At 40.1% G+C, this 24,313-nt stretch overlaps 1 protein-coding gene across 4 annotated transcripts in view, besides 2 other annotated features; it reads left to right on the forward strand.

Annotated features, from left to right (window-relative positions):
- Nucleotides 1-24,313, forward strand: part of RUNX2 (RUNX family transcription factor 2) — a 222,753-nt gene that overhangs the window by 168,484 nt on the left and 29,956 nt on the right. For all 4 annotated transcript variants that reach the window (NM_001024630.4, NM_001015051.4, NM_001369405.1 and 1 more), the window contains one exon: nucleotides 15,433-15,594. In NM_001024630.4, the coding sequence (NP_001019801.3) occupies nucleotides 15,433-15,594 (162 nt within the window). The remainder of the gene's footprint in view (nucleotides 1-15,432; nucleotides 15,595-24,313) is intronic.
- Nucleotides 8,139-8,433: an enhancer, noted in NCBI's record as "tiled region #695; HepG2 Activating non-DNase unmatched - State 21:Repr, and K562 Activating DNase unmatched - State 8:EnhW". NCBI's record gives its function as "activates a minimal TATA promoter and a strong SV40 promoter by Sharpr-MPRA in HepG2 and K562 cells {active_cell/tissue: HepG2 | K562}" and the evidence as "EXISTENCE:reporter gene assay evidence [ECO:0000049][PMID:27701403]".
- Nucleotides 23,406-23,960: an enhancer, noted in NCBI's record as "NANOG-H3K27ac hESC enhancer chr6:45487956-45488510 (GRCh37/hg19 assembly coordinates)". NCBI's record gives its function as "activates a minimal SCP1, AML or CMV promoter by ChIP-STARR-seq in primed H9 embryonic stem cells {active_cell/tissue: H9 hESC(primed)}" and the evidence as "EXISTENCE:reporter gene assay evidence [ECO:0000049][PMID:30033119]".

Below are 24,313 nucleotides of genomic sequence, written 5' to 3' on the forward strand. Positions count from 1 at the left end.
GTTCAGGAAGCTGCTACAGTAGCTCGAGAGAGTAAATGGTGGTAGCAGTGGAGGTGGAAGGACACTGAAGGATTCTGAATACTCTCTTTTTTTTAATAGAGAGTTCACAACTCTCGCTGATGGTGAAGGGAAAACAGGACTTCAGAGTTTTGACCTGGGCAATTGGAGGATGGTGGTGCCATTCACTGATGTGGGGAAGACTCAGGGAGGATAAGGTGGAGTGGGGCTGGGGAGCTCAGAGAAGCAGTTGGGTGGAGAAAAGAAGATACTAAGAAAGAAGAGACTCGACATTCTCACTCCTACAGTAGCTTGTAAAACTGCCTTTGCAGACACCCAAGGGGCTTCCCTTCTCATGATTCTTCCTAGGTTGCAGCGTTCCCTTTCATGATTTCCTTTCTCTTTTAAAAGCAGCTCTTGGTTCTTTTGAGTCTTGGTTGTTTTTCTAAGCAGTCAATGAAAGTTGATTTTCCCTGCATGTAAATGCTGGAAGGAAGTGCACAGGATATTTTTTTCCTTGGTTCAGACCCCTATTTGCCCTTCACTCAGGAGTAGATTCTGGACACTTCTGCATAGGCTGCTAGATAGTCCATCATGTTATTTATTGTGACTTTTTCTCCTTTTGTAATGTACAAGCAATTCATTTGAAGTTTCACTTATTTTTTTATTTTAAATTAATATGTTATTGTATTTCATGCTTTTTTCTCTGCCTAGACACTCTTCCTTGTCTTGTTTTTCCAAACACATTTTTATTGTTTCTTCAAAACTCAGATCAAATGCTGCCACCTCTGTCAAGCCTCTTCCAACCTATCCAAGCAGAGTCGAATCAGGCTCCCGTGCCACCTTGTACAACCCTTGATTATATCTTGTTCCATGTGCTGATGATTACTGTTCACATGTCTGTCTCCTCCATCAGACTTTGGACTTTTCAAAGTCTAGGGCCATGTTTTCTTCATCTTTGTGTCCCCCATTGTCTTACACGGTACCTGCTTACTACGTGACTTTTGGTTCGGTGATCAGTGAATAAATGGGGTCACTGACCTCTTCAGGAGGCGGGACCCACTATTATCCTAGCCTTAATATTTTTCTAGTGTCTGTTTGATTGAATTACTATTAGTTACCATTTATTAAATGCTTGTCATGTGTCAGGCATTGTTCTAATTAGTTTAACTCATACGTTCCTCACAATAGCTCTATGAGATAGGAGGCATTCTTATGGAAACTGATGGTAGACAGGTGGAATAACTCACCCAAGGTCCCACTTACTACTAGTAAGTGGTAAATACAGGAAGTAAAGGCAGCTCTCCATAGCTCCATGGCCCTGTGTACTTACCACCAAGTACTCTTGGGAAGCTGAAAGGTACTTTTATCATGGCTCAGCTTCCTCCCATTTCTGTACCTCACTTTCATTTATTCAGTTCTTTACCATTTACAAACCAAAGGCCTAAAACAATTCTAAAGGTACATATTTCACAGATGGAAGAAATTGATTCTTGGAGAAATGACTTGCTGAAGGCTACTTCAGCTATTGCAGTTGACTGTGAGTTCCTGATTCTTAGCAAGCACTCACCTTCATCCCTATCAAGATAGGTTGGGCTTGTTGCCAACAATCTAAGTGACATGTGTCCTGCAGGACTAATTTCTTTTTCTTCTGTCCATTATACATTATTTAGGATACTTAGAGAGAATATTTTCATGAACGGGAGTTAGCATTAGGAATATCTGAATTATACTTTAAAATTCAATATAATCATTTAAATGATTAAATTCCAGTTATATAAGGCATGTATTTAAGGTAAAAACTGCTTGCCAGACATCCTGTCTAATAATAATCTTATCAGCAGTTACTGTGACTGAAGTGGTTTCCACCTAACTTCAGTCTGATTCTGTATTCCCTCAGCAAACAGAACTCCTTTAAAAATTAAGGGGACCTCAGCCAATTAGGCCAGCTGGAATTAGGCTGTGTATATGTTTGGCTGTCCTAGGATTCTAGTGCTTGTCCCGAAACATTTACTAGTGTAATCCTTTCAGAAATCAGAAAGCACAGCTGAGTTGCATGTGTCTTAAGTTACTGTTCTGTTCAAGTGCTGAGTGACCACATGATTCTTTAATGTGAAACAAGTTGGGAGATGAAGTGGGCCTGGGGTGATGTTGGCTGTGAGTGTGAGGGTGGATGGACCCATAAGAGGCTCAGATACTGTTGGTGAGCAGGAAGAATGACAGTAGGGTACCATCAGTGTGGGTATGGAGGAGAGTGGGAGTCAAGTGAATTCTCAGACTTCACAGTCACTGTGGTCCTGCTCACTTGTAGGCAACTTGTGTCAAGGAACTGAAGTCACTGCATTGAAAGACAGATTGTTGGAAGTGGTTCTTTTTTACTTTGGTGGTGCAGTGTTGTAATTTCTGAAGTTCCTGGGAAGTTTTGCCCTGTCTTCTTCCTTTGAGATGTTTCAGGTGGGGCAGCTGGGCAAATTTGCTGCTGCCTTGCACATGTGTGAGCAGGGAATCTGTACAGGAGGTTGCTAGTCACAATCCTTATTTTTAGAAAGGGCTCAAATCCTGTGTGTAAACACTATTTCATACTGATTCTGCTCTGGTGGCCACATTATGAGGAAGAGTAGACTTTAGGTGCAGCCTGTGCTGGCTTTAAAGAATGAAGCTTCCTAGGACTCTGTGAAGGGCTGGTGGTCAACCCGTTATGTTGTTGCTTAGCCTGTTAGCAGTATCCACAGATGAGCTTCTTAAAGGTGCTCTGTTTGGATTTCTGTCTGTTGGCATTCCCTTATTAACTGAAGATGGTCTGACTTTAGTACGCTTTCAGAAAAGTAGAGAGGGTGATGTTCCCAGAAAAATTATTTTTTTGTTTCAAAAAATTGTCTTTGTAATTTTCTCCTATCTGGGAATATAAGATGCATAGTTAACACTTAGTTGTGATAAGAAGGGTTCATCTCCTATATAATGCCTCATTTTATCCTTCTTCCCCCAAAACAGTTCCATTTCTAGCCTGTCTTTAACTCTCCATGCAGAGGAAGTCTTGATTTTGTTCTCCTATTCTTTTCCAACACATCATCTTTCTCTTTTAGTTTTATATTTAGTTTTAGTTTTATATACATATGTATATGTACGTATATATGTACACCCACGTGTATGCATACCTGTCCCCTTTATTAGTTGCTTAGGGTCCTTTTTTGCCCTGTTTTACCTTTTGTGATGGACTATGGGCAAAAGGATCAGAATAGGAGATTAATGTTGAAGGAAATATTAACTTATGGGGTAACCCAGCAGAGGGGCAAGTTAGGCCTGCGCTTTGTGCAAAGATGCCCTGGTGGTATATTTTCACACTAAATAATGGATATGCTTCACATATCCATTATTTATGTGATATGCTTCCACATATCTCAGGGCTTCACACAGAGAGTTGGTGTACATTGACTGTGCAGTATTAATAGCAACAATAATATATTATAGATATGATCAGTCTAAAAAGTGTTTTCATTTTAATGTATGCGAAAGTATTCCAGGAATATAACTGTATGGCACTACTCCCAGTTAGAGGCATCAGATTCTCTTTAGGGCTTTGTTTATTGTAATAAAGACTTGCTTTTTAATGGCTTAAAACAATTGGTTTTAATAGACTTTAAAAGACAAGATTTAACGGAAGAATCAGATTGTGATCCATATAGAGAATATGAAAACTGAGGTGCTAGGAGATTTCTGAAATCCTCAGAGCTGAAATTGGAAATCTGTGTCTTAGGAAGGTGAAACCTGACAGATAGTTTTAGGTGGGGAGTGGGTGAAGGTGTAGGGGGAAAGATTTAGAATGAAAAATGTTTGGCGCTGTTGCCAGGGTGAATGGTGGGAATGGAAAATGACTTTGGATGAGCATCTTTGAGGACCCAGCTGAAGGTAGAGGTCATGGGAAGAGCCAATTGGCATGATTATGTGATTCTCTCCCACAGTGGTTACAGTTTGTGACTAGGAGTGGGCTAGGCTGTCGTGGACCGTCTGTCTGCTAGGACTAGGTAGGATTCAGTACAACACAGGGGAACAAGGAAGATGTTGAGCCAGTTTCCCATGTGGGGGAATGTCCTGCAGGTTGGTAGATGGAAGAACTTCCAAAGAGGACTTGACCCATCTGGACTGGGAAAATGAGCAGCAGCTGAGTGGAAGGGTTAAGAGGGAAATTTAACGGGGAAATCCGTGTGTTCGTTCAGGTGGGAAGGGGAAGGAGTGTCATCTGGAGAGGTTGAAGGTAGATGGGCGCTCTTAGCCATTCTTCAGCTATTCCTCATGTGACCGATAGAGGTCCCACACCTTGTCCTGTCTTCTCCAGTGCTCTAGCCTGATGCTGCCTCTTGAGAACACAATCCGCTAGCTATGCCTGACCAGGTCAGTAGGGGTCTACTAATATTCTGTTAATATATCCCAAGTTTGTGTTAACTTTTTGTTATCCCATCACACTGTGGCTGTCAGTCCATGAAAAACTCTGCTCTTGGAGCAGGCTCCCCCATCCTGTCTTGTAGTTGACAAAATGCAGCACTGTACTTTTGCTCTTATTTCATTTCATCATGTTGCTTTCACCTCCTCTTTCCATCCTGTAGGGTTATTTTGTAGTTCTGATTCTTCTTCTGTTGTGTTGGGTTATTCCTCACAACTTTGTCTCATCTTGAAGCTTGGAAAGGTCCCTTCTAATCCTTCAAGACTTTGGTGAAGATGCTGGACAGAAATAAGACTATTGTGCCCTGGATTATGCCACCATATAACTCTGTCTAAACTGACCACAATCTATATATTAATGACCACTTTCTGGCAGGCTTTTTAACTAGCTATAAATCACTTAGAGATAAGGCATATATCTTGCTGAGGTCCAGATATGCAATAGACAGATGAGCTGCCTTCTAATCTATTGCTTTAGTAATTCTAGGAGACAGTTTTTTAGTGAGCCCATTCTGCTTTCTGATAGTCACTGTGGGATGAAGTGTGAGAAGTTCTTTGCACACTGGCTATTGAAAGTGTTTTTAGTGGGCTGCAAGCAAGTCAACACCAACAGTGGCTCCAAAACAACTTAGTTTCAGCAACTTAGATTTTACCAATAGCAATGCTGTTTTCAGAATAAGATAAATGGAATAAGGGAATGTAAAACCTAGTGTATTTTGTGTCGTAAACTTTAAAGGCATTATCTTCAAGTAATTTAACAGCTGTCATGTGGAGTAGTAATCCCAGAGAGCAAAACTAAGATTAGTAGTGATTGGAGTTATAGGGAGGCATATTTTACTTAATCTAAGGAAAAACTTTTTAGACCCTGCTCCATCAAGAAGCAGCCCCTTGAGTACTAGTTACCTACATTTTTGCCATGTTGTGGGATGTCATTTATCTTGGAGCAGAGACTTGAATTCATCTAAAGCAGCACACTGCTCTCCCTTATCTCCTCACTTCTCTTGGGCCTTAATTTCCTCTTATGCACGTTTGTTCTGCTCTTTCTATGTAAGATCATCCTTTTTGATAGGGAAGATTAAATCAAAATAGGGTTCGGTAATTTTCCTTTCTAACTTTCATTAATAAAAATTATGCCTATTGTTCTTGAACTTTGGCACATAATCACATCACCTGGGGAGCTTGTTAAACATACAGATGCCCAGGTTCTACCGCTGAATTAGAAGGTGTGAGGTGGAGCCGGCCCAAATCACTCCCAGCTGTAGGCCCAAGGCAGGCCTATTACTCAAGGCTCACCTTACCCATCCAGAACTCATCCTGATCCAGCCTGAGGCCATCTCAGGAGCCTCGCCCCCGTGATCAGCTGATGTGTGGAGGCAGCTAAGAGCCCGAAGCCTGAGTGCAGCCCCTGGACTCCACCCCTGTGTCCATTCCAGCTGTTGTTTTCTCTCCACACCCTTTCCTGCACGCCTGGTCCTAGACTGGACTTCTGCCCTGTTTCTTTTAGGATGCTGCCAGAGGGAGATTTTAAAAATGCATGTCTGATTATGTCACTCTATACCTAAACATCTTCTAAGGTGACCTATTGCATTTAGGATAAAGATTAAAATGTCTAGCATGGCCCAGCAGGGTCAGCACAGCCTGGCTCCTCCCTGCCTGCTCTCCATTCTCATCTCACAATATTTTGAAACTTTTTCACAATGTTCTAAACACAGGCCTTCTATCAAGTACATAAAAAAATGATATTGCCTTCTTCCCAGGAACTGGACACGGGCCTAAAGCCCTCTTAACCTCCCTTACTCATCTTCTAGACTTATGCTTGTCATTCAGGTCTTGGCTTGATCTTTACTACCTTAGAGAAGCTTTCCCTGATGCTCAATGTGGTTGGAGTTCCCATTTTATGGTACCATGAACATCTCTTTTTCAGCATTTACCATAGTTATATGATTATTTGATTAATGCCTGTCTCTCCTACCCAACTGTAAAACTCCATGGGACCAGGGATTAGGTCATAAAACTCCATAGCACCAGGGATTAGGTCTATTTTTATTCAACATTAATATTCCAAGTGCCTACACAATACCAGAGTAGATACCTGATACATATTTTTTTGAATGAATGAATGAGAGACAATTACTAGAACGATGGATATAATCATCCATGTGACATCAGGTATCACCATGCCTGGGGACCTTCTGTAATACCCCGACTGCCCATATCTGATTTCCTGGATGTTGACATCAGCCTGATTTGAACCTGAATTTACCACACCCAGTTCAATACTATGATTCGAACTAAGGGCCACTCTCCCTTGCCAGCATCACATCTCAGTGGCATTTCAAGTTCTTGTCCCACCCTTTTGTATCTCATTTCTCTCCCTCTTCTAGCTTTGCCGTTGAGATTCAGGATATGCCAAGGCTGAGAGGCCAGGACAGGTATGACATGTGGTATAGCCTCTTTCTTCTTCTATTAGATTTTTTTAAAACAAGAAATGCCTGTCCTTTTCTGTAAGACAGTTATGATCCCTATCTAGCAAAAGTTGGTGATACATAAGAGTGCTTCTCATCACCTTGTCTTAACAATGCAACTTCCTTCTGGTTTTTCTTTTAACATTTTATTACAGGATATGATATCTTAGGCCATACATATCGTTTTTCATTCTCTTCTCTGCTTATTGTCTTCTAAGTTTACTAATTCTCTCTTCTCCCATTGTTTGTGTTGTAATATAACCTATGGTCATGCCTGGTGTACCCTACATAGCCTCCAGTTTTAACCAGTTTGCTGCTTTTTTTTCTCAGATTTCATTTTTAGACTCTGTCACTCGGGTCTGTCTCCTGCTGGATGATTCTGGTAGCCACCAGATCAGTTGGAGAAGGCCCTTGGTGGGGACAAGGGGGGTCCGCACCTTGCTCTTGGGGCTTCTCAGCAGACATGAGCCAGATGCTCTGTGATGGGAGGCGCTGCATTGTCAGCTACCTTTCATAGCCACCCCAAGTCAGCTCTGCATGGCTTCAGTCATTTCTGATGCAGTTACAGTCTCCAGAAAGGACTGAGGGTTGGGAGCTCACTCTTCTGAGTGGTTAGCATCATAGCATTTTGTATCTGGAAAACATCTTAGAGATAACCCACCCATTCCCATGTTACAGGTGAAAACAGTGAGACTCAGAGGCCATAAATTATTCGTCCAAGCCTGCACAGTTAGTGCCAGAGCCTCCAGTCTAGGGCTCTTCCTATGCTTGGAGGAGGCCATTTGTTTGTAAACAGTTTCCTGTTAGTCAAGAGAACCAGAAATGAGTGAAGAAAGCTCATTCTAAAATTCCAGTCTTGCTGACAGGGTTATTAGAAAAGACATAGAATTTAACATTTCATATTTAGTGTAGATTGTTTTGAAATGGGAATCTCTGTATGTATGAATGTGTATATGTATAAGTGTGAGTATGTCTGTATTATGAATGACAGTAATATGACAGAAATAGTTTAAGATAGGAAATGGCAAATCTGCTCCTCTGTGTTAGGATGATTGACCCTGGTAGCAATTAAGAGGCATAGTTCTAAGCCAGTAGACTCTGTATATCATTTTTGACACCCCAGTTTTCTCAAGAAATATTTGAGGTTTACACAGCCTGATTTGAGTACTGTTTAGGGGGAAAATGGGTGGAGAATAAGGGGTGGGATTGTGGGGATCTTTGATTATACCTTGTTGCCCCAATACGGCAGGTACTCCCTGCAGACAGCTTTGGCAGAATCACTGGCTGCCATGGTGTCCTGTTACACAGAAGCCTGCTGGCCGCAGGAACAGGAAATAGCCTTTTGTATGCGGGTTCAGGCTTTGCTCCCATTGACTTGTTTCCTCCCGTCTGCATCAAGTTCAGCACCCTGTCCCTGGTGTGCCTTGTTGTGAGCAATTCCTAGGAAAGCAGATCCTCCTTCACACCCACACATGTTTAACCAAAGTGTTTACAAAAGGAGCCTTGCTAATAGCAGCTGCCTTGTTTCCAGCATACCTTTGGGCTTTCAGAAAGCTCTCTGCCTGCTCTGCTGCCCCCACTCAAACTTACTCATTCAGAAGAGAATTGGATATGTTTTCCCGGAGTCAGTTCATTTTCCTGGGATGCCTTTTTTTTTTTTTTTTCTTTTCTGCCTTCCTCCCTTCTCAATATAACTCCAAGTGTTTAGGGTTCAATTATGCAGATGCGAAATTTGGCTTTTTAGTCATTTGAAAGTATGGAGACTCCTAGAGCTCATGACTCTTCTATATCACTGTAGGAAGTGCATAGCCACCCCCTTTTTGTTCCCCATACCAGTGATTGTACTTCAGAAGCTGTGGTCCTGCTCAAAAAAGACTGTTTGCTTTCCTCATCTCCACAGGTTTACATAAAGGGTTGTCTCCATTTTTGCCTGATGAAAGGCAACTTGAGACAGAGGAACCACCCCTCTCCCAACTAGCATTTTTGAGCACCCCCTGGGTACGGTTTTGCCTTCTGTGCTTTTATGTTTTGTGGTTTATAGGATGGAAAGCAGATGCAACCACTCTCCAAGAAGTCTAAGCTGAAGGAACACCACCCTAGAAGGAGAACTTATAAAATCGATTCTGACATTGGTGCTCCATGGTTCCTTTCCATCTTTAGAGCGTTTTTAAAAACACAATTCCATGCTTGTGACAGACTTTGCCTCGGTTGAAACACATGCTGAAGGGATTCCTTATGACAGATGACTGGTTCCTTTTTACGGCTTTCAGTGGCTTCTACCTTAGACAGAAAAAGAGAAATTAACCTGAACTCTTAATAGCTAGATTTGGTCTACTCTCACGGAGGAAACCATGATTGCTTCTGAAAATGTGTTGTTGCAGATCTGAGGGGTCCAATAAATAGCCTTCCCTTTATTCCTGGTGGTGGTTCTTAGTGTGCTTTCTCGGCCCTGGGGACCCCTTTCTTCCTGGGTTCATCCTCAGGGCCCGCAGGAGCAGCCCTGGTCCTCTGCTTTGTTCTCTTCTCTCGCATGTAGTCATTTTGATCAATCACATCCTGTCTGTGAGTACAGCAGACCCATCAGATAGGAAAGACCTGATTTTCTCTCTCAAGTTTATGTTACAGGTCAGATTTGATTACCACTTCCCTCTAAGACCCCCTATTTTAGGTGGCAGGAGAGAAGTTGGTGGAGAAATAAGAGTGGAGTCATCTTTAGTGATACGTAGTGCCTCAGATTTCCCAAGCACTCAAGAGTGAGTGCATAAAAACCCAACACCAGAGGGTTGTTCATATATCATATCCATATAAAAACATGTCAATTTGTTGAATTTCTCTAATATAGTAATTAAAATAATATTGATACTGTTTCTGAAGATTGCCATATAAAAAGAATGAATTATAGTTTTTAAAAAAACATAAAAATATTTAAAGTTCAACAACAGTTTTGTTGTTGTTGTTGTTGAGACAAAGTCTCGCTCTGTCGCCCAGGCTGGAGTACAGTGGCGTGACTCAGTGCCTCCCAGGCTCAAATGATCCTCCCTCCTCAGCCTCTAGAGTAGCTGGGACCACAGGCATGTTTCACTGCACCCGGATAATTTTTGTATTTTTTTGTAGAGGTGGGGTTTCACCGTCTCTACAAAAGCCTGTTACCCAGGCTGGTCTCCAACTCCTGGGCTCAAGTGATCCACCCAACTTGGCCTTCCAAAGTACTGAGATTCCAGGCCTGAGCCACCGTGCCTGGCAACAGTTTTCTTTCCTTTTTTTTTTTTTGGAAACTTTCTGTGACATAGCATTGATTTAGCCCCCGAAAACTTGTAGGTAGTTCATGGCTTTGAGGTGACACTCTGGCTGACCTATAACTGCAGTCAGCCAGGGTGTCACCTTAAGGCCATGATTAAAAGTCAAGGATATTTGTGTTTATGCTGGAGTGTTAGGACATGGTTCTTCCCTCCATGTTTCTGTAGATTTGAAAAGACACACCATCCAATATAACTCTGGGTGAGGCAGGGTGACGGATGGATTATCCTTGCTCTGTGGGACCTGAGGCTGAGATAAAGACAGTTTCTTGTTTGTCGTTAATTAGTAGGTTTGTCTCAGAGCTAGGCCTTGTATCTTTCCTATTAGTAACTTTAGGATTGACTGATGATGCCTGAAAAACATCTATCACCTGTTCTGACTCATCCAATTTGAGAGTAAATCTCAGAAGTCTCAGGTTTCTTCAGGAAGTTGAGTTCAGAAATTGTTTATGAGATCAGGTTAAGGTGACTTTCCTCTACTATAAGCACTAATAATTGTCCATAAAAAGCAAATATGTTGTAATCATGTATTTATGACAGGATTATATTTTCTTGGTGATTGCGCATTTAGGAAGTGAAGACATTTTACAGCCATTTTTTTCCCCACTAAAAGATTGAAAAGGTTAAAGTGTACAGTATTTGAAAATACACTTAAAAAATTAGGATTTCTCTGGGAAGAAACCAAAACTTAAGAAAGAACATGATTAAGGTTAAGCCATTGTAAAAGGATATCAACGTGACTAACACGGACATATATGCTCCAAATTGTGAACTACACGGTACAGGAAGCTCTCCTAAAAATTGTACTCTGCCAGAAAAAGAGGTCAAGGGCTAGAAACAAATATAAAATGAAGGTTCAGTAAGATAGAGTCTTTAACTGTGGGAAACATTTATCAGGTTCTTTCCATATGCTAAACTCTATATTATATTATCTCATTTAATCATCAGACAACTTTATGAAGGAGATATTCTTATTTACTCCCATTTTATAGATGAGGAAACTTTAATCTTAGATACGTAATTTGTCCAATCACACAGTCTGGAAATGGTGGAGCTTGGATTGGTAATCACTCATTCACAAGGTATTAGAGAAGGCATGGGGGTGTTTGGAGACCATGGCTTTTGTTTAAAAGGTTGCTATCCTCTTTAAAATTGTTTTTTATGCTAGATCTAGTGAACCCCATAACCCCATATGGCAGTTCTTATATTTCCTTTTTTTTTTTTTTTTTTTTTTTTTGAGATGCAGTTTTGCTCTTGTTGCCCGGGCTGGAGTGCAATGGCGTGATCTCGGCTCACCGCAACCTCCGCCTCTTGGGTTCAAGAGATTCTCCTGCCTCAGCCTCCTGAGTAGCTGGGATTACAGGCATGTGCCACCACGCCCAGCTAATTTTGTGTTTTTAGTAGAGACAGGCTTTCTCCATGTTGGTCAGGCTGGTCTTGAGCTCCCAGCCTCAGGTGATCTGCCTGCCTTGGCCTTCCAAAGTGGTGGGATTACAGGTGTGAGCCACTGCTCCCGGCCTATTTTATTTTTCTTTAGTAACTCTTTCTTTAAGTCATTCTCATAGACTCTTAGGACAGTGACCTTGAAAGAGACTGGCTTGACTCTAGCCTATCCTCTGAGAGACAAAAAGACAAAGATAGATCTTCTGACTTGTTTAGGGATCTTGAGAACTTACTTTTCCTAATCTTGGATATTTGGAAAGGCCTCCACTAAAAGCAAAACTATCCTTTAACAGACTTTTCTAGTATATATTCTGGCAGTCAGGATGTAAAACCTAAAACCTCACGATATAAACCTCTTTGGTAGCTTAAAGAGAAATTAGAGAATTACTAATTATGACTTAATTTTAATATTTTATTATTCACTCAAGCCACCCTGAAAGGTTCATTCAATAGTTGTTTATTGAGTACTATGTGCAAGGCATTATACTTAGTTATGCTGAATCTGATCTTGGAAGTCTTTAAGAATAACAACATGAGACAAACCCAGCTACCCTAGATAGCATAGAGTCATATTTTAATATTTATTTTTAATAATGATGATTTTCCATTTACCATATATTATTTAATCTTCAGTCTGAGGATTCAACTCTTTGAGATAGTATTATCATCTCCATTTTGCAGATGAGGAAATTAAAGCTCAGTAACATTGAGAAACACAGCCCAGGTCACAAGGCTCAGGCAGGGCCTTCACCATGTGAGCTCCTAAAGAGAGTCAAAATAGTTTTTCTGTAGTACTTTATAGTTATCAAAATGCTTTTACTTGCATTATCTCATTTTCCAAAAATGAGAGTATTTATTATTGTATTCATTATATAGATAGCTCTTGTATTTATTATATACTTAATATGTGCTAAGAGTGCCAGGTACCATATTAGACATGGCCTAGTTCATGTAATCCTCACAAAAACCCTAATAAGTATCATTATTCCCATTTTATAGATGAGCCACCAAGGCCTAAAAGTTTAAGTGATATGCTCAGCACAGCAGGGAGGTTTAACTGAAGCCTAGGTTTGTCTGCACAGCCAGGATGTGTGACCACTTTACTATATTCACTTTTCTGTATTATGCTGCCTCATTTTCCAGATGAGGAAACTGAGATTCAGAGTTAGCTAACCCAGATGAGGTCATACAGCTTATCAATAGCGGAGCTGGCACGCCAACTCAGATCCTCTCACTAGAAAGCCCACTTGTTTCCCACTGTACTGAGCCGCCTTTCTGCACAAGGAGAACTGTATCTTACATCCAGGTTGAGTACCCTAATTCCTTTTCGTCATTTTTTACATTTCTTTGTATTTGTTCTTGTTTTTAGGCAGGGGGCCCTAGACGGATGACTTGTTGCAGGAGAGGAATGGTATAGGTTAAACTGCTTGCTCAGGAAGTCATCTGGGGAAGTTAGATGAGAACTCAAATCCAAATTTGAGTCCTGTGTACCCAACTTATTTAGCTATGTGGTTCTCAACCTCTTTGTCTTTTGAAAATGTTGCTTGAGAGAAGGACTTGCCCTTGCGAGACTGCTTTCCTGTGCTGTAAGGAATGAATCTTTTTCCATCTGAAGATCATTTACCGTTTCTCTGAATACTGAATTACATTAATGGTGTAAGGCAAGGAAGTATGTCAATATCAGATATATAACAAGGACCAGTCACTCAGATTTGAAATGTTGCCAATCTCTACAATCTCGGCCTTGAGAATTTTAAGGCACAGAAGCCCGTTACTTTAATGATCAATTATCCTTTAGATTTCTGAAGGAAAAGTTTGTTAACCACTTATAGTACTGCTTTTTTATTCAAATTGCAAACTCAGGTAAATGTTCTTTAAAATTGAATTGGATGACATTTTTCTGTATATGTCAATGTCAGTAAACATCCGATAAATATCCAGGTGTGTTTAATTATTTTGACTCAAGGAAGTATGTCCTATTTAAACAATCTTTAAATAAATTGTTTCTGAATTGAACAAATAAACAAGAAATAGCTGAACTAAACTGCTGTGACTGTATAGAAAAACTGAGAGGTTTTAACGGAGGAATGATCTAAAAATCCGCATCTTATTATACTCATTTTTACTTTTAGAGATAAACCTGAATTAACTGTTCAAGTATATTAATAGTTTTTATTTTCAAAGAATAATAGGTGATGTGTAGGGATAATTTGAAACCTATTCCAAGTGTATTAACTCCAGTTCAGATATGTTTGAAACATGGAACTTACCCTATGTCACCCAGAGTTTTTTTTTTAATATATATATGTATATAAAATAATTAATGCCTATTAAGTCTATTTTGTGCTAGTTTTCTCTTAATCGTTTTCTCCTGTAATTTTCATATCCTTATGATTCAGGTATTATTGCTGCCCCTCCTTCCTCACCTTTTACAGATGAGGAAACTGAGGCTCAGAGTGACTGAGTAATTAAGCCAAGGTTACACAGAAAGAAGAAGTCTCAGAACTTGGACCTAATTCTGAACATTCCAAAGTCCGTGCATATTCTAAGATACCAAGCTATCTTGTGAACAGCCTGGTCTATTAGAATTTTAAAAATTAACATAATTTAAAAATTAGCATAAAAACGTGTTAAGAGAAATTTGGTTATGATTTTGTTTGATTAGCCCTCAAGTAAGAGCAAAAGAGTTTGAAATACATACTTTTTTTGCTTTGGAAACATACAGCACATTTACCTTTTTTTCTGTATATAAGCAGAAGGTCTTTTAATAAATCTATGTGGCCTTGAGTTTGTACCTCCAAGAAACTCCTAGAGATACATCAAAAAATATTGTTAATGTTCAGCAATTAAACCTAAACAGCTGACTGCCCATTAGTTTTATTATTACAATGACTGTAGGTAACACTAGGCCAAATTCCAGACATGTGACTTCTTCTAAACAGATTCCAGTAGGATTAAAAACATTTCCCCGTTCTCCTGTTTTGGGGCATTTTCTTACTGTCAGAAACTATGGTGCTTAACATTGAAACTGGCTGGTGATGAAACTTTTCAGTTCTTAATGGTAGTTGACTTTGAAATTAAATTTTTGTCTTTTTCTTCCGGGTTATTTTCTGTTTTAGCTTTAGCATGAGAGTAACGTAACTGGCTTCCCTCCTTCCTGTTCATCTTACGTGCTGCCCCTCCATTCTCATTCCTGCCCTTATTCCCTTCACCCCATGCTAGAAAGGGCCATTCCATTGACCTGCCTGAAAAGAAAGTGCCCTGAGATGAAATCATGGAATCATGCACTTTAAAACCAAAAAGCATGTCTGAAAGATAGTAAGTAGCTGGATATGCAGCAGCGAAAGGCACAGTCTACATAGTCTTTAACCAAGTTAATTGTTCAGAAAATATTCTAACTTAGAAAAAGTTATCCATGTTCACTGGAGGAATTTTAGAGATACAGAAAATAAATATAATTCCACTTTGTAAAGATAACCAAAGCAGATTGTTTTCTAAATGACTATTAGACTTTCGAAATTGAAATATTTGGAAGAGAGAGACAAATAGTCTTTATGCATCATCCATTTTGTTGCTTTCATTGAGACTCAAAGTCTAGAACGCTTTGTGCTATTTAAGGCCTGAAAGGATGGGGTTATAAGAGATAAATAGCCATTCCTTATATATTATATATATATAAGCCATTTTTTTTTCTCTCCCTGTTTTTCTGCTTTTTCCTTTCTGAGTTTTGGGTTGCATGTTTCTAAGGCTGCAATGGTTGCTATACTAAAGATTTTTCTTTTTCTTTTTCCCAGACCCCAGGCAGGCACAGTCTTCCCCGCCGTGGTCCTATGACCAGTCTTACCCCTCCTACCTGAGCCAGATGACGTCCCCGTCCATCCACTCTACCACCCCGCTGTCTTCCACACGGGGCACTGGGCTTCCTGCCATCACCGATGTGCCTAGGCGCATTTCAGGTAAAGACCGTGCTTTAACTAAAAATCCATCCCTGCACAGGGGTCGGGGGGAGTGGGATGGGCTGAGCCTGTCTCATCCATGCTCACAGTGACTCTCTATTAGAGGCATGTGGGCAAGGGAATGACAACTGGCAAATTAAATCTTCTGAATTATGGGGTTATCAAACACTGGAACATTTTAAGTCAAGAGACTGAAAATCCGCTAGAGATGGCATACTTTTAACATGGTATTTAATGCCGCCCAGTTAGTGTCCTGCTGAATTGTATCCCATTTGGTGGGCACTGTCTCATAACTAGGGCCTTTTCCTGAGGGTATTATGCCAGGATTTCCTCTGCTTGTGTTCCTTTCTTTTCGTAACATCTGCCTATAAACAAGATTGATGGCACAGCCCTCCATTCCTAAAGGCTTATAAGTCCCAGGAGTCCAAGCTAGTCAGTTCCAAGAGAGAGCACCTGCAAACTTAGGATCTTTGTCAGAAACTAGTCATTTGAAGTGCTGTGAGGCCTGGAAGAATCTTAAAAGACAATGCGTGGCCTCTGAGTGGCTAACTCAAGAAGGAGGCAGACTTTCTGTGAAACATAATGCATGCTGCTGTCACTTGCAGCCCGGCAGCCCAGTGCTCACAATTCCTCTGTTCCAAAGGCACCACAGAAATGTGTGGCCCATGGGGAGAGTGTGTGTGACAGATGACCTGGCTGCCCCTCTATCCTGGAGAATTCATCACAGAGAGCCAGAAAGTGTTCACAAAAACTCCAAACTGACAAGTAGAGAAAAGTTAAAGGCCCTTAGCTGACTATATGAGTCCCATGAATAAGAAAAGAAACCTCTTGGTCCACCCTGACATATGAACTGCAAACATTGTCCCCACTCAATGACGTACGTCCACAGAGGCACACACCCCATTGGATCCCACGTTTGCCAGATACTCTTCTCAGCGTTCGGGCCCCTGCACCTGTTTGACTCCTGGCCAGGTTAATGCCTTTCTTTCTTTCTCTTTGTGTTTCTGTCTCTGTTTCTCTCCCTCTCTCATTTTCTGCAAAGCTCGAAGCCGTTACTCACTCCGCTGAGTTGCATCACTGACAAGCTGAAGCTCCACCAGCAGGCTTGCGGGTTTTGATTAGTTCAGACTCCTTTATTTCTTTCAACTTGGGAGGAGGGAAGGCTTTGTTTCTCAAGCAAATAGCAGGAAAGGGCTCTCTGGTCCTAGTGCCTCACATTTTCTGCAGCAGATGGACTCCCATGGGGGTGAGTAGGGAAAGAAGAGGGGTGGAGGGAGAATTGCAAGGTTTTTTGGAAAACCATGTTACCACTTTTCATTATGACTCCTGTTATCATTTTTACGAATCACATAGTATGTATTGGGGAATTGTATAGAGTATAGAATTTTAGTTATCATTTCCCTTGCCTGGGATCACCGTCGCCTTCAGGCAAACATTAATTAAAGGTACGGGAAAGGATGAGTAAGGCACAGTGGGGATAACGAAGGCTGATGCGGGATTAAAAGCATAATGTTGATGGTGTTGAGTTAGTTCTGGTTATTCCTTCTGCATTTCATACTGAGAGGCTGTTTTGTTTTACATAGGGCCGAAAGGACACTTTGACAGAATAGACTTATGCAAACTTGCTTCTGTTTGGGGTCCCCTGGGGCTTCCATCTGCCCAACCCACTGTGGCTGAAGCAGATTTTGCTGTTTTTTTCTCTAGCAGTACCTACAAGAAAAAAACCTCAGGGAGTGATGGTAGCATTAGAGACACTTAACTACAGCAGTTTCCTACTGAGGTATATTCCTGTGAGTTCACCAGGAAAGCCATTGAAAATAACATTGGAAAAATGCTGCATAAATGAGTAGTCGTCATTGTTTATCATGTACATGTGTAACGGAAAACAGCCAGATTATTTCAAGTTACTTTACTGAGGGTTACTTAAAACATTTCCACAAAACAGTACCTTTCCCATTTCACAGGTAGGGAGGCAGGAGCAGAAACTGGTTAATTTTCCAGCCATGTATCTATCTTAGGCCACAGGTAGGAGTGAGCCTCTGGTTTAAACTGGTTTATACTGAGTTTAGTCCAGTTTTTTCCTCCAACCCTTAACATTTCTGGAGTTGTCACTGGTAAAGTAACATGGTGCCAGGGTGGGAGGTTCTGTATAAACAGTAAAGAGAACAGAAAATCCCTCTTGTCAGCATGTAGGTAGGGAAACAGGAAGAAACAACTAGACATGGACTGTCAGGGAACTGGAGGAGCCGTGACTCACCTGACCTTGCCCTGGGCTGCGGGGCTGTGCCTGCACACCCAAGCACTGCCTGGTGGACTCAAGGACCATGTCATCGGAGTGTGCACCATTTCTAATTCCCTGGGGACTAGTCCTGGGAGCCTTCTTGGGGGAGCCTGTCTCATAGGTTCCCAGGTACCAAGTTAGACAATTTATATCTTATGATTCCTCTCAACATCTAAACCCAATGTCTAAGTCCATGACCTAGAGGCTCCTACATGTGAGACTTAAGCATGAGGGGTTTTTTAATTTGGGTTTTTTTTTTTTTTGTTTGTGTGCTTTAGTAAATAAAGTCCTTTGGATTGAGTCCATTCCTGTGCCTTTAGTCTTCATAATGCTCTGTGCCAAATAATGCTGTTTCCACATAACGCGGACAGCTAAAAATACTAACCTCTATCCCTGTTTACAGGCAGTCCTGTGGTCTCTTTTTGAAATGCTTTCCAGAACAGTTTATGTTTTTGTGTGCATTGATCAATTTTCATCTCCATATCTAAAGGGATACACAAAATATTCTCATATGATTTTGGGTGAGAAAGAATAAAATTCTTCACTTCACAGTAGGATTGGATGTTCGGACCCAGGTTTTTATCCCAGCTCATACATATATCAGGCAACTTCTTACTTCTCTGAAACTTAGTTTTATTATTTGTAAAATAGGCATACAATATTCATCTTCAGGGTTGGTGTGAGGATTAAGTGAGATACTTCATATAAAGTGTTTAGAACTGGCCTGGCACATGATATGTGCCAAATAGATTGTAGCTGATATTATGAAGCTAAAATTGTTTTGTAAAAATTCTATATCCATATGTAATTTACAGGCAAGTCTTGTTAAGTGAGTCAAATTAGATTAGATAAAAATCTAAACTTTTAAAGGGGACTTTTCCTTCAGAAAATAGATCACCGCAGGGCATATTTAAAACAAAGCCCTTAGATTATCTAAATAAGTTAATACCCACATGGCATTCATAAAGCACTTAATGCAGTACCTAGCACATAGAACTCCTCAAATGTTTCCCATTATTATTATTATTCGTAGATTTAAAATGAATATTTACAGAGCAAAAAGCAATTGGGAACCATTCACAAAAAAGTCAATAAAGCATTAAGAGAAAATAACGATTCAATTATGTCAGACAATAGAAAGTGCTGAGTTACACTTAAATTAACTAGGCATGCTAATGCTGTGTTCCAAGGGATCATAGGAATAGAAACAACCAGAAAGATCCACCAGAAAGAACTGTTCCAAAAGAAATTCCATTTTCTCCTAAAAGACCATTCCAAAGAAAGACCATGATTTAATCTACCTAAAGACCTTCAGAGAATCCAATATTTCACCTTTCTTTATTAGTATCCTTTCTTCTGAGTAATTTTCAAGCATGGCAACAATTCTAGAAGTTAATAAATGACAATAATCACAGTGATATTATATTAGATAGTCTTGTAGTTTTCCTCAGACCATTTTTGGAAGGAAGGTATAAACAAAATAAGATAAAATGATAAAGGTATGTTACCTACAATCCTTACTTTACTGCAGAGAAAGATATAATACTAGACGTCTTCAAGTTCAGAGGTACAATACAATGATTCAGGAAATATTTCCTTAACATTGGGTAGCCTTAAATATTGTAATGGAACAACAAGAGCACATATAAGTTTGTAATTGAATGAGAAGTTATTGCCATGTAATTGACTAACAGGTGTATGTTATGGTAATGAGTTTGAATCATATTCAGTTGAATTATAAAAGTCAGCACTAGTCTCAGAAACCAGTCTAGTGATGTTACAGTGCAGAAGACACCTCCTTTCCTACCATACTTACATTGATACATATGGCCTCATCATATAATAATCTGTATTTAAGTAGCACTCCTATCCCCAGGTGATTTTATACATTATCTCACTTCATCCTACATGTTTCTAAAAGATTATTCAGTACACAGAGGTGGCCAAAGTTATTTCTCATTGATTCTAGTCAAGGGTAAGGTGTGACAAGGCAAGCCTTATATGACCCGAACCACTGCATGTCTTTATAATTGCAATCGTATCACCCATGGCAGTTTTGATCTTCAAAGCACTTGTGAGGCTTGACACAAAGATTATAATTACATTTCTGGAAGTCATTACAAAATACTATGTAAATAAATAATTGCTGACTTTCAAAATGTATTTTATACAATTATCCTACTATGGAAAGAAGCACAACTCTTTATTGAGGCTGATTGTTTGGGTCAGAGTATGAGTCTCCTAGAGAGCTTACACAGGTTTTTTTTTTCACTGCAAATAACTCCTCCACTATCCCACTCATTTGAGTGAAGTAGCTTAGATTAACCTAAGTCTGTACCACTCTTTGGCATAATGAAGTAGAAGGGATTTATACCTTTCTGATGCTTTCTGGAGGTTTCTTAGAGACTTAGGATATGTTAGTTAAAGATGCACAGGTAAGATGCATCTTATTCATAGATGTTGGCTGCCTCAGTTACTCTGAAAGAGGTCACTATAGATTTTTTTTTTTAAGAGACAGGGTCTTGCTCTATTGCTCAGGATGGGATGCAGAGGCGTGATCATAGCTCACTGCAGCCTTGAATTCCTGAGCTTAAACAATTCCCCCATCTCAGCCTCCTGAGTAGCTGGGACTAAAGGCCTGCACCACCTTGCCAGGCCAATATTTTTCATAGGGACAGGATCTCACTATGTTGCCTGGGCTGGTCTCGAACTCCTGGTCTCAAGTGATCCTCTTGCCTTGGCCTCCCAAAGTGCTGGGATTACAGACATGAGCCACCTCTCCCTGCTTGCCACTATAGATTGTATGGAAGATTCTTCTCTGCATTTATGGGGTTTTTGTTTGTTGTTGTTGTTAACATAGGACAGAGTTAATCTTTCTGTAAGGTTATTTTTTTCTTCTGCTTAGGAAAGTAGTCTTGAATCTCTTATTTCAAAATATGTAAATATTAACACTTTTCACTTACTCAACTGCACAGGACTATTGAAGATGTCTCCAGTTTTATGACTTTCGGTGGCTAAACTATAATATTCCAAGGTCAGGAGAATAAGCATTAGTTTAATAATACAATTATTAAAAATTATTTTATCACTACTACAAAATCTAGAAATTGCCAGTGGAAAAACCCCACCCCATTTGAGTACTCAAGGTCTGTCAGGAGGATTCAAACCCAGTAGAGTTTGAGGTTGTTCATTCTAAAATGTCCCTTATAACCCAGTCTCTATCAAGTCCACCGAGTCAAGTTCTTGAAACCAGCAGCTTCGTAATGTGCCAATTATATGTGAACATTTATTTTAGCAGAGCAGCTCTTAACTCACAGGAGGGAGGAATGCCTTAAGAAAGGTTAAAAGGAAAACTTCAGCAATTAATACTAATAAACCAGAAAGTTAAAGCAACCATAATAAAACACTAGAGCATCTACTTTTTACTACAGAACCATTCCTTTCTTAAGAGCCACCTGTTTGGTAGACATACTCTGCCACAGCAGCCACAGGCAAATAATTAAGTTTAATAGGAGTAACTCTTATTTTGAAGAAGTTCTCCGTTTAAAGCCACAGAGTGGGGAAGTTATTAAATTTTATGGACCCTAAACAAAGGCAAGCCCTGTGTCAAAAATTGAATGTTCCGTATTCTTCATTATATCGCCACTGATTGGATGGATTACTTTTGCATTCCATAAGTTGAAATTCATCTTGCTTTCCCTAAAAATAGCCTATCTTTTGACATAGCAGATGGTGTTCTAATCTTACCTGGACCTCCGTTTACTCTAATTTTTGATTTACTCCTGCTGAGGCCCAAAGAAGTGGTTTTCATTCCTACTAGATCAGTTGGAGATAATAGTTGGTCCAGCTCACAAAGTTTACTAAGCTTGGTTGTATGATTAATTACTGTTATTTGTAGCTACACTGAGATACTAAAGCTCAGAATGAAACCTGTGTACATGGTTTGACTCTGATTTTTTACATGGTTTTTCTCAGTTGTTTTTGTGGGGATTTATTTCTGACACATGTACAACCACCCACACATAGGGAAAAGATTTAGTAATGAAAGGAATCATGCTTTTGCAGGGATGGCAAACACATGGTTATATATTTTATTGAGGATTTGCTGAAATCTCCTTTCCATCAAAGAAAACTTGAGTGTATGAACCTCATTTCACCCAAAGTATTAATTTTCTAACGATAGATACAGTGGCTTCTGCAGTGCACTGGGGTCTGAGAAGAGGGGGCGCAGTTTAACTTAGGACACCTGAGTTTTCATTTCATTGTCACTAAAGAGTCTTTGTATCATTCTCAGATACAGTTAATTTATTGTGCCTCAGTGGTCCTATGTTAATGAATTACTAGAAATCGCTGAATCATATATCTCAGAGGCTCTGCAAGGAGTAAGGTGCTATCTGTTTAGGGATTTGATGTTCTTAGGACTTTTAGTAAAGTTTGCCTTACCAGATAAATGCTAGTGGAAAAAGGAGGTCGCATAATTATCTTCTAAAGAGTAGAAATGCATGCGACATTATTACTTTTATGTATATGTCTTAAAATTAATACTTTATTCTTTTGAGAGATTTTAAGTTTACAGAAAAATGGAGCAGAATGTATAGTTTCTTATATTCTCCTCCTACCATCTCCCACTTTCTCCTGTTATTTACATCTTGCATTTGTGTGATGTTTGATGTAATTGATGAACCAATATTGATACATTGTTATGAAATAACGTCCATAGTTTACACAGGGCTCACTCTTTGTGTTGTGCAGTTCTATGGGTTTTATCATAATGCCATGTGTCCACCATTACAGAATCATAAGGAGTAGTTTCATTACCCTAAAAATCCCCTGTACACCACCTGTTCATCTCTCTTTCCCTTCTCTTTTCCTGAGCCCCTGGCAACCACAGATTCTTTTTTTTTAACTGTCTCTATAGTTTTGCCTTTTCCAGTGTTATATAGTTGGAATCATACAATAAGTAAGTAGCTTTTGCAGACTGGCTTCTTTCACTTGGTAATATGCATTTAAGTTCCTCCATGTCTTTTCATGGCTTATTAATGCATTTCATTCTACCCCGAATTGCATTCCATTGGAAGGATGCTATTATATATATATATATATGTGTGTGTGTGTGTGTGTGTGTGTGTGTGTGTGTGTGTGTGTGTGTATATATTTGAGATGGAGTTCGCTCTTGTTGCCCCTGCTGGAGTGCAATGGCATGATCTCGGCTCATGGCAACCTCTGCCTCCCAGATTCAAGCAATTCTCTTGCCTCACCCTCCCGATTACAGACTGGGATTACAGGCACCCACCACCACATCTGGCTATTTTTTTGTATTTTTAGTAGTGATGGGGTTCCACCATGTTGGCCAGAGTGGTCTCGAACTCCTGACCTCAGGTGATCCACCTGCCTTGGCCTCCCAAAGTGCTGGGATTACAGGTGTGAGCCACTGCACCCGACCGGATGCTATTATATTTTTAAAATCATCAAAGGTGCTCTACCTGAACCTGAGGATACTATCTTATCTTCCATTTTCCTTTTGTTGCTGACTTTGTCAGTGGTCGTTCCTATTAGAAAGCATTTCACACATTTCTTCCTGGAGAAGCATGTTTTCTATCATAGCAATTGTCACCAAATGGTTTTCTGTATCTTGGGTGCATTTTTAAATTAAATATTTTTTTCCTAATCTTGCCCATAGATAAATTCCTGAACATCTACTGTTTGGTGGTCATGCATACCAATTCAAATACGGAACATACCAAGTTAAAATAACAATACAGTTATGTGACTGCTTAGTTGTCTCCCAAAATATTTGACTCTCCTAGGTAAAGGGGGGCCTTTTCTCTTAAAAATGCCTGGCATTCCTTAAGTGTGCTGTGCTATTTCCCACTTCCATGTCAGCCCATTTCTTTGCACTGGGGGGCAGGGCCCTGTTGTTCCCTCTTGGGCATGCCTTTCCCAAACACCACTTTCTTCAAAGTGAATCGCTGTCTCATCTACACCCATTTGTATGTCATTTCTGTACTTTGGACACACCTCTAATGTGTACATATCTTTCTTTTTTTTTTGAGACAGAGTCTCACTCTGTTGCCCAGGCTGGAGTGCAGTGGTGTGATCTCGGCTCACTACAGCCTCTGCCTCCCAGGTTCAAAAGATTCTCTTGCCTTACCCTCCCGAGTAGCTGGGATTGCAGGCATGAGCCACCACACCCAGCTAATTTTTGTAGTGTTAGTAGAGACGGATTTCTCTATGTTGGCCAGGCTGCGAACTCCTGACCTCAGTTGATCCACCCGCCTCGGCCTCCCAAAGTGCTGGGATTACAGGTGTGAGGCCTCATGCCCAGCCCATATTGTCCTTTAGCATAAAAATTTAATTGCATGCCATTCTCCTTTTATAAGCTTCTTAAGGACAGTGGCTATGTTTTGCATATTCTTGAATCCTTATAACCTAGCACAG

The sequence above is a fragment of the Homo sapiens genome, chromosome 6, assembly GCF_000001405.40.
Source record: "Homo sapiens chromosome 6, GRCh38.p14 Primary Assembly".
Classification (NCBI taxonomy): Eukaryota; Metazoa; Chordata; class Mammalia; order Primates; family Hominidae; genus Homo; species Homo sapiens.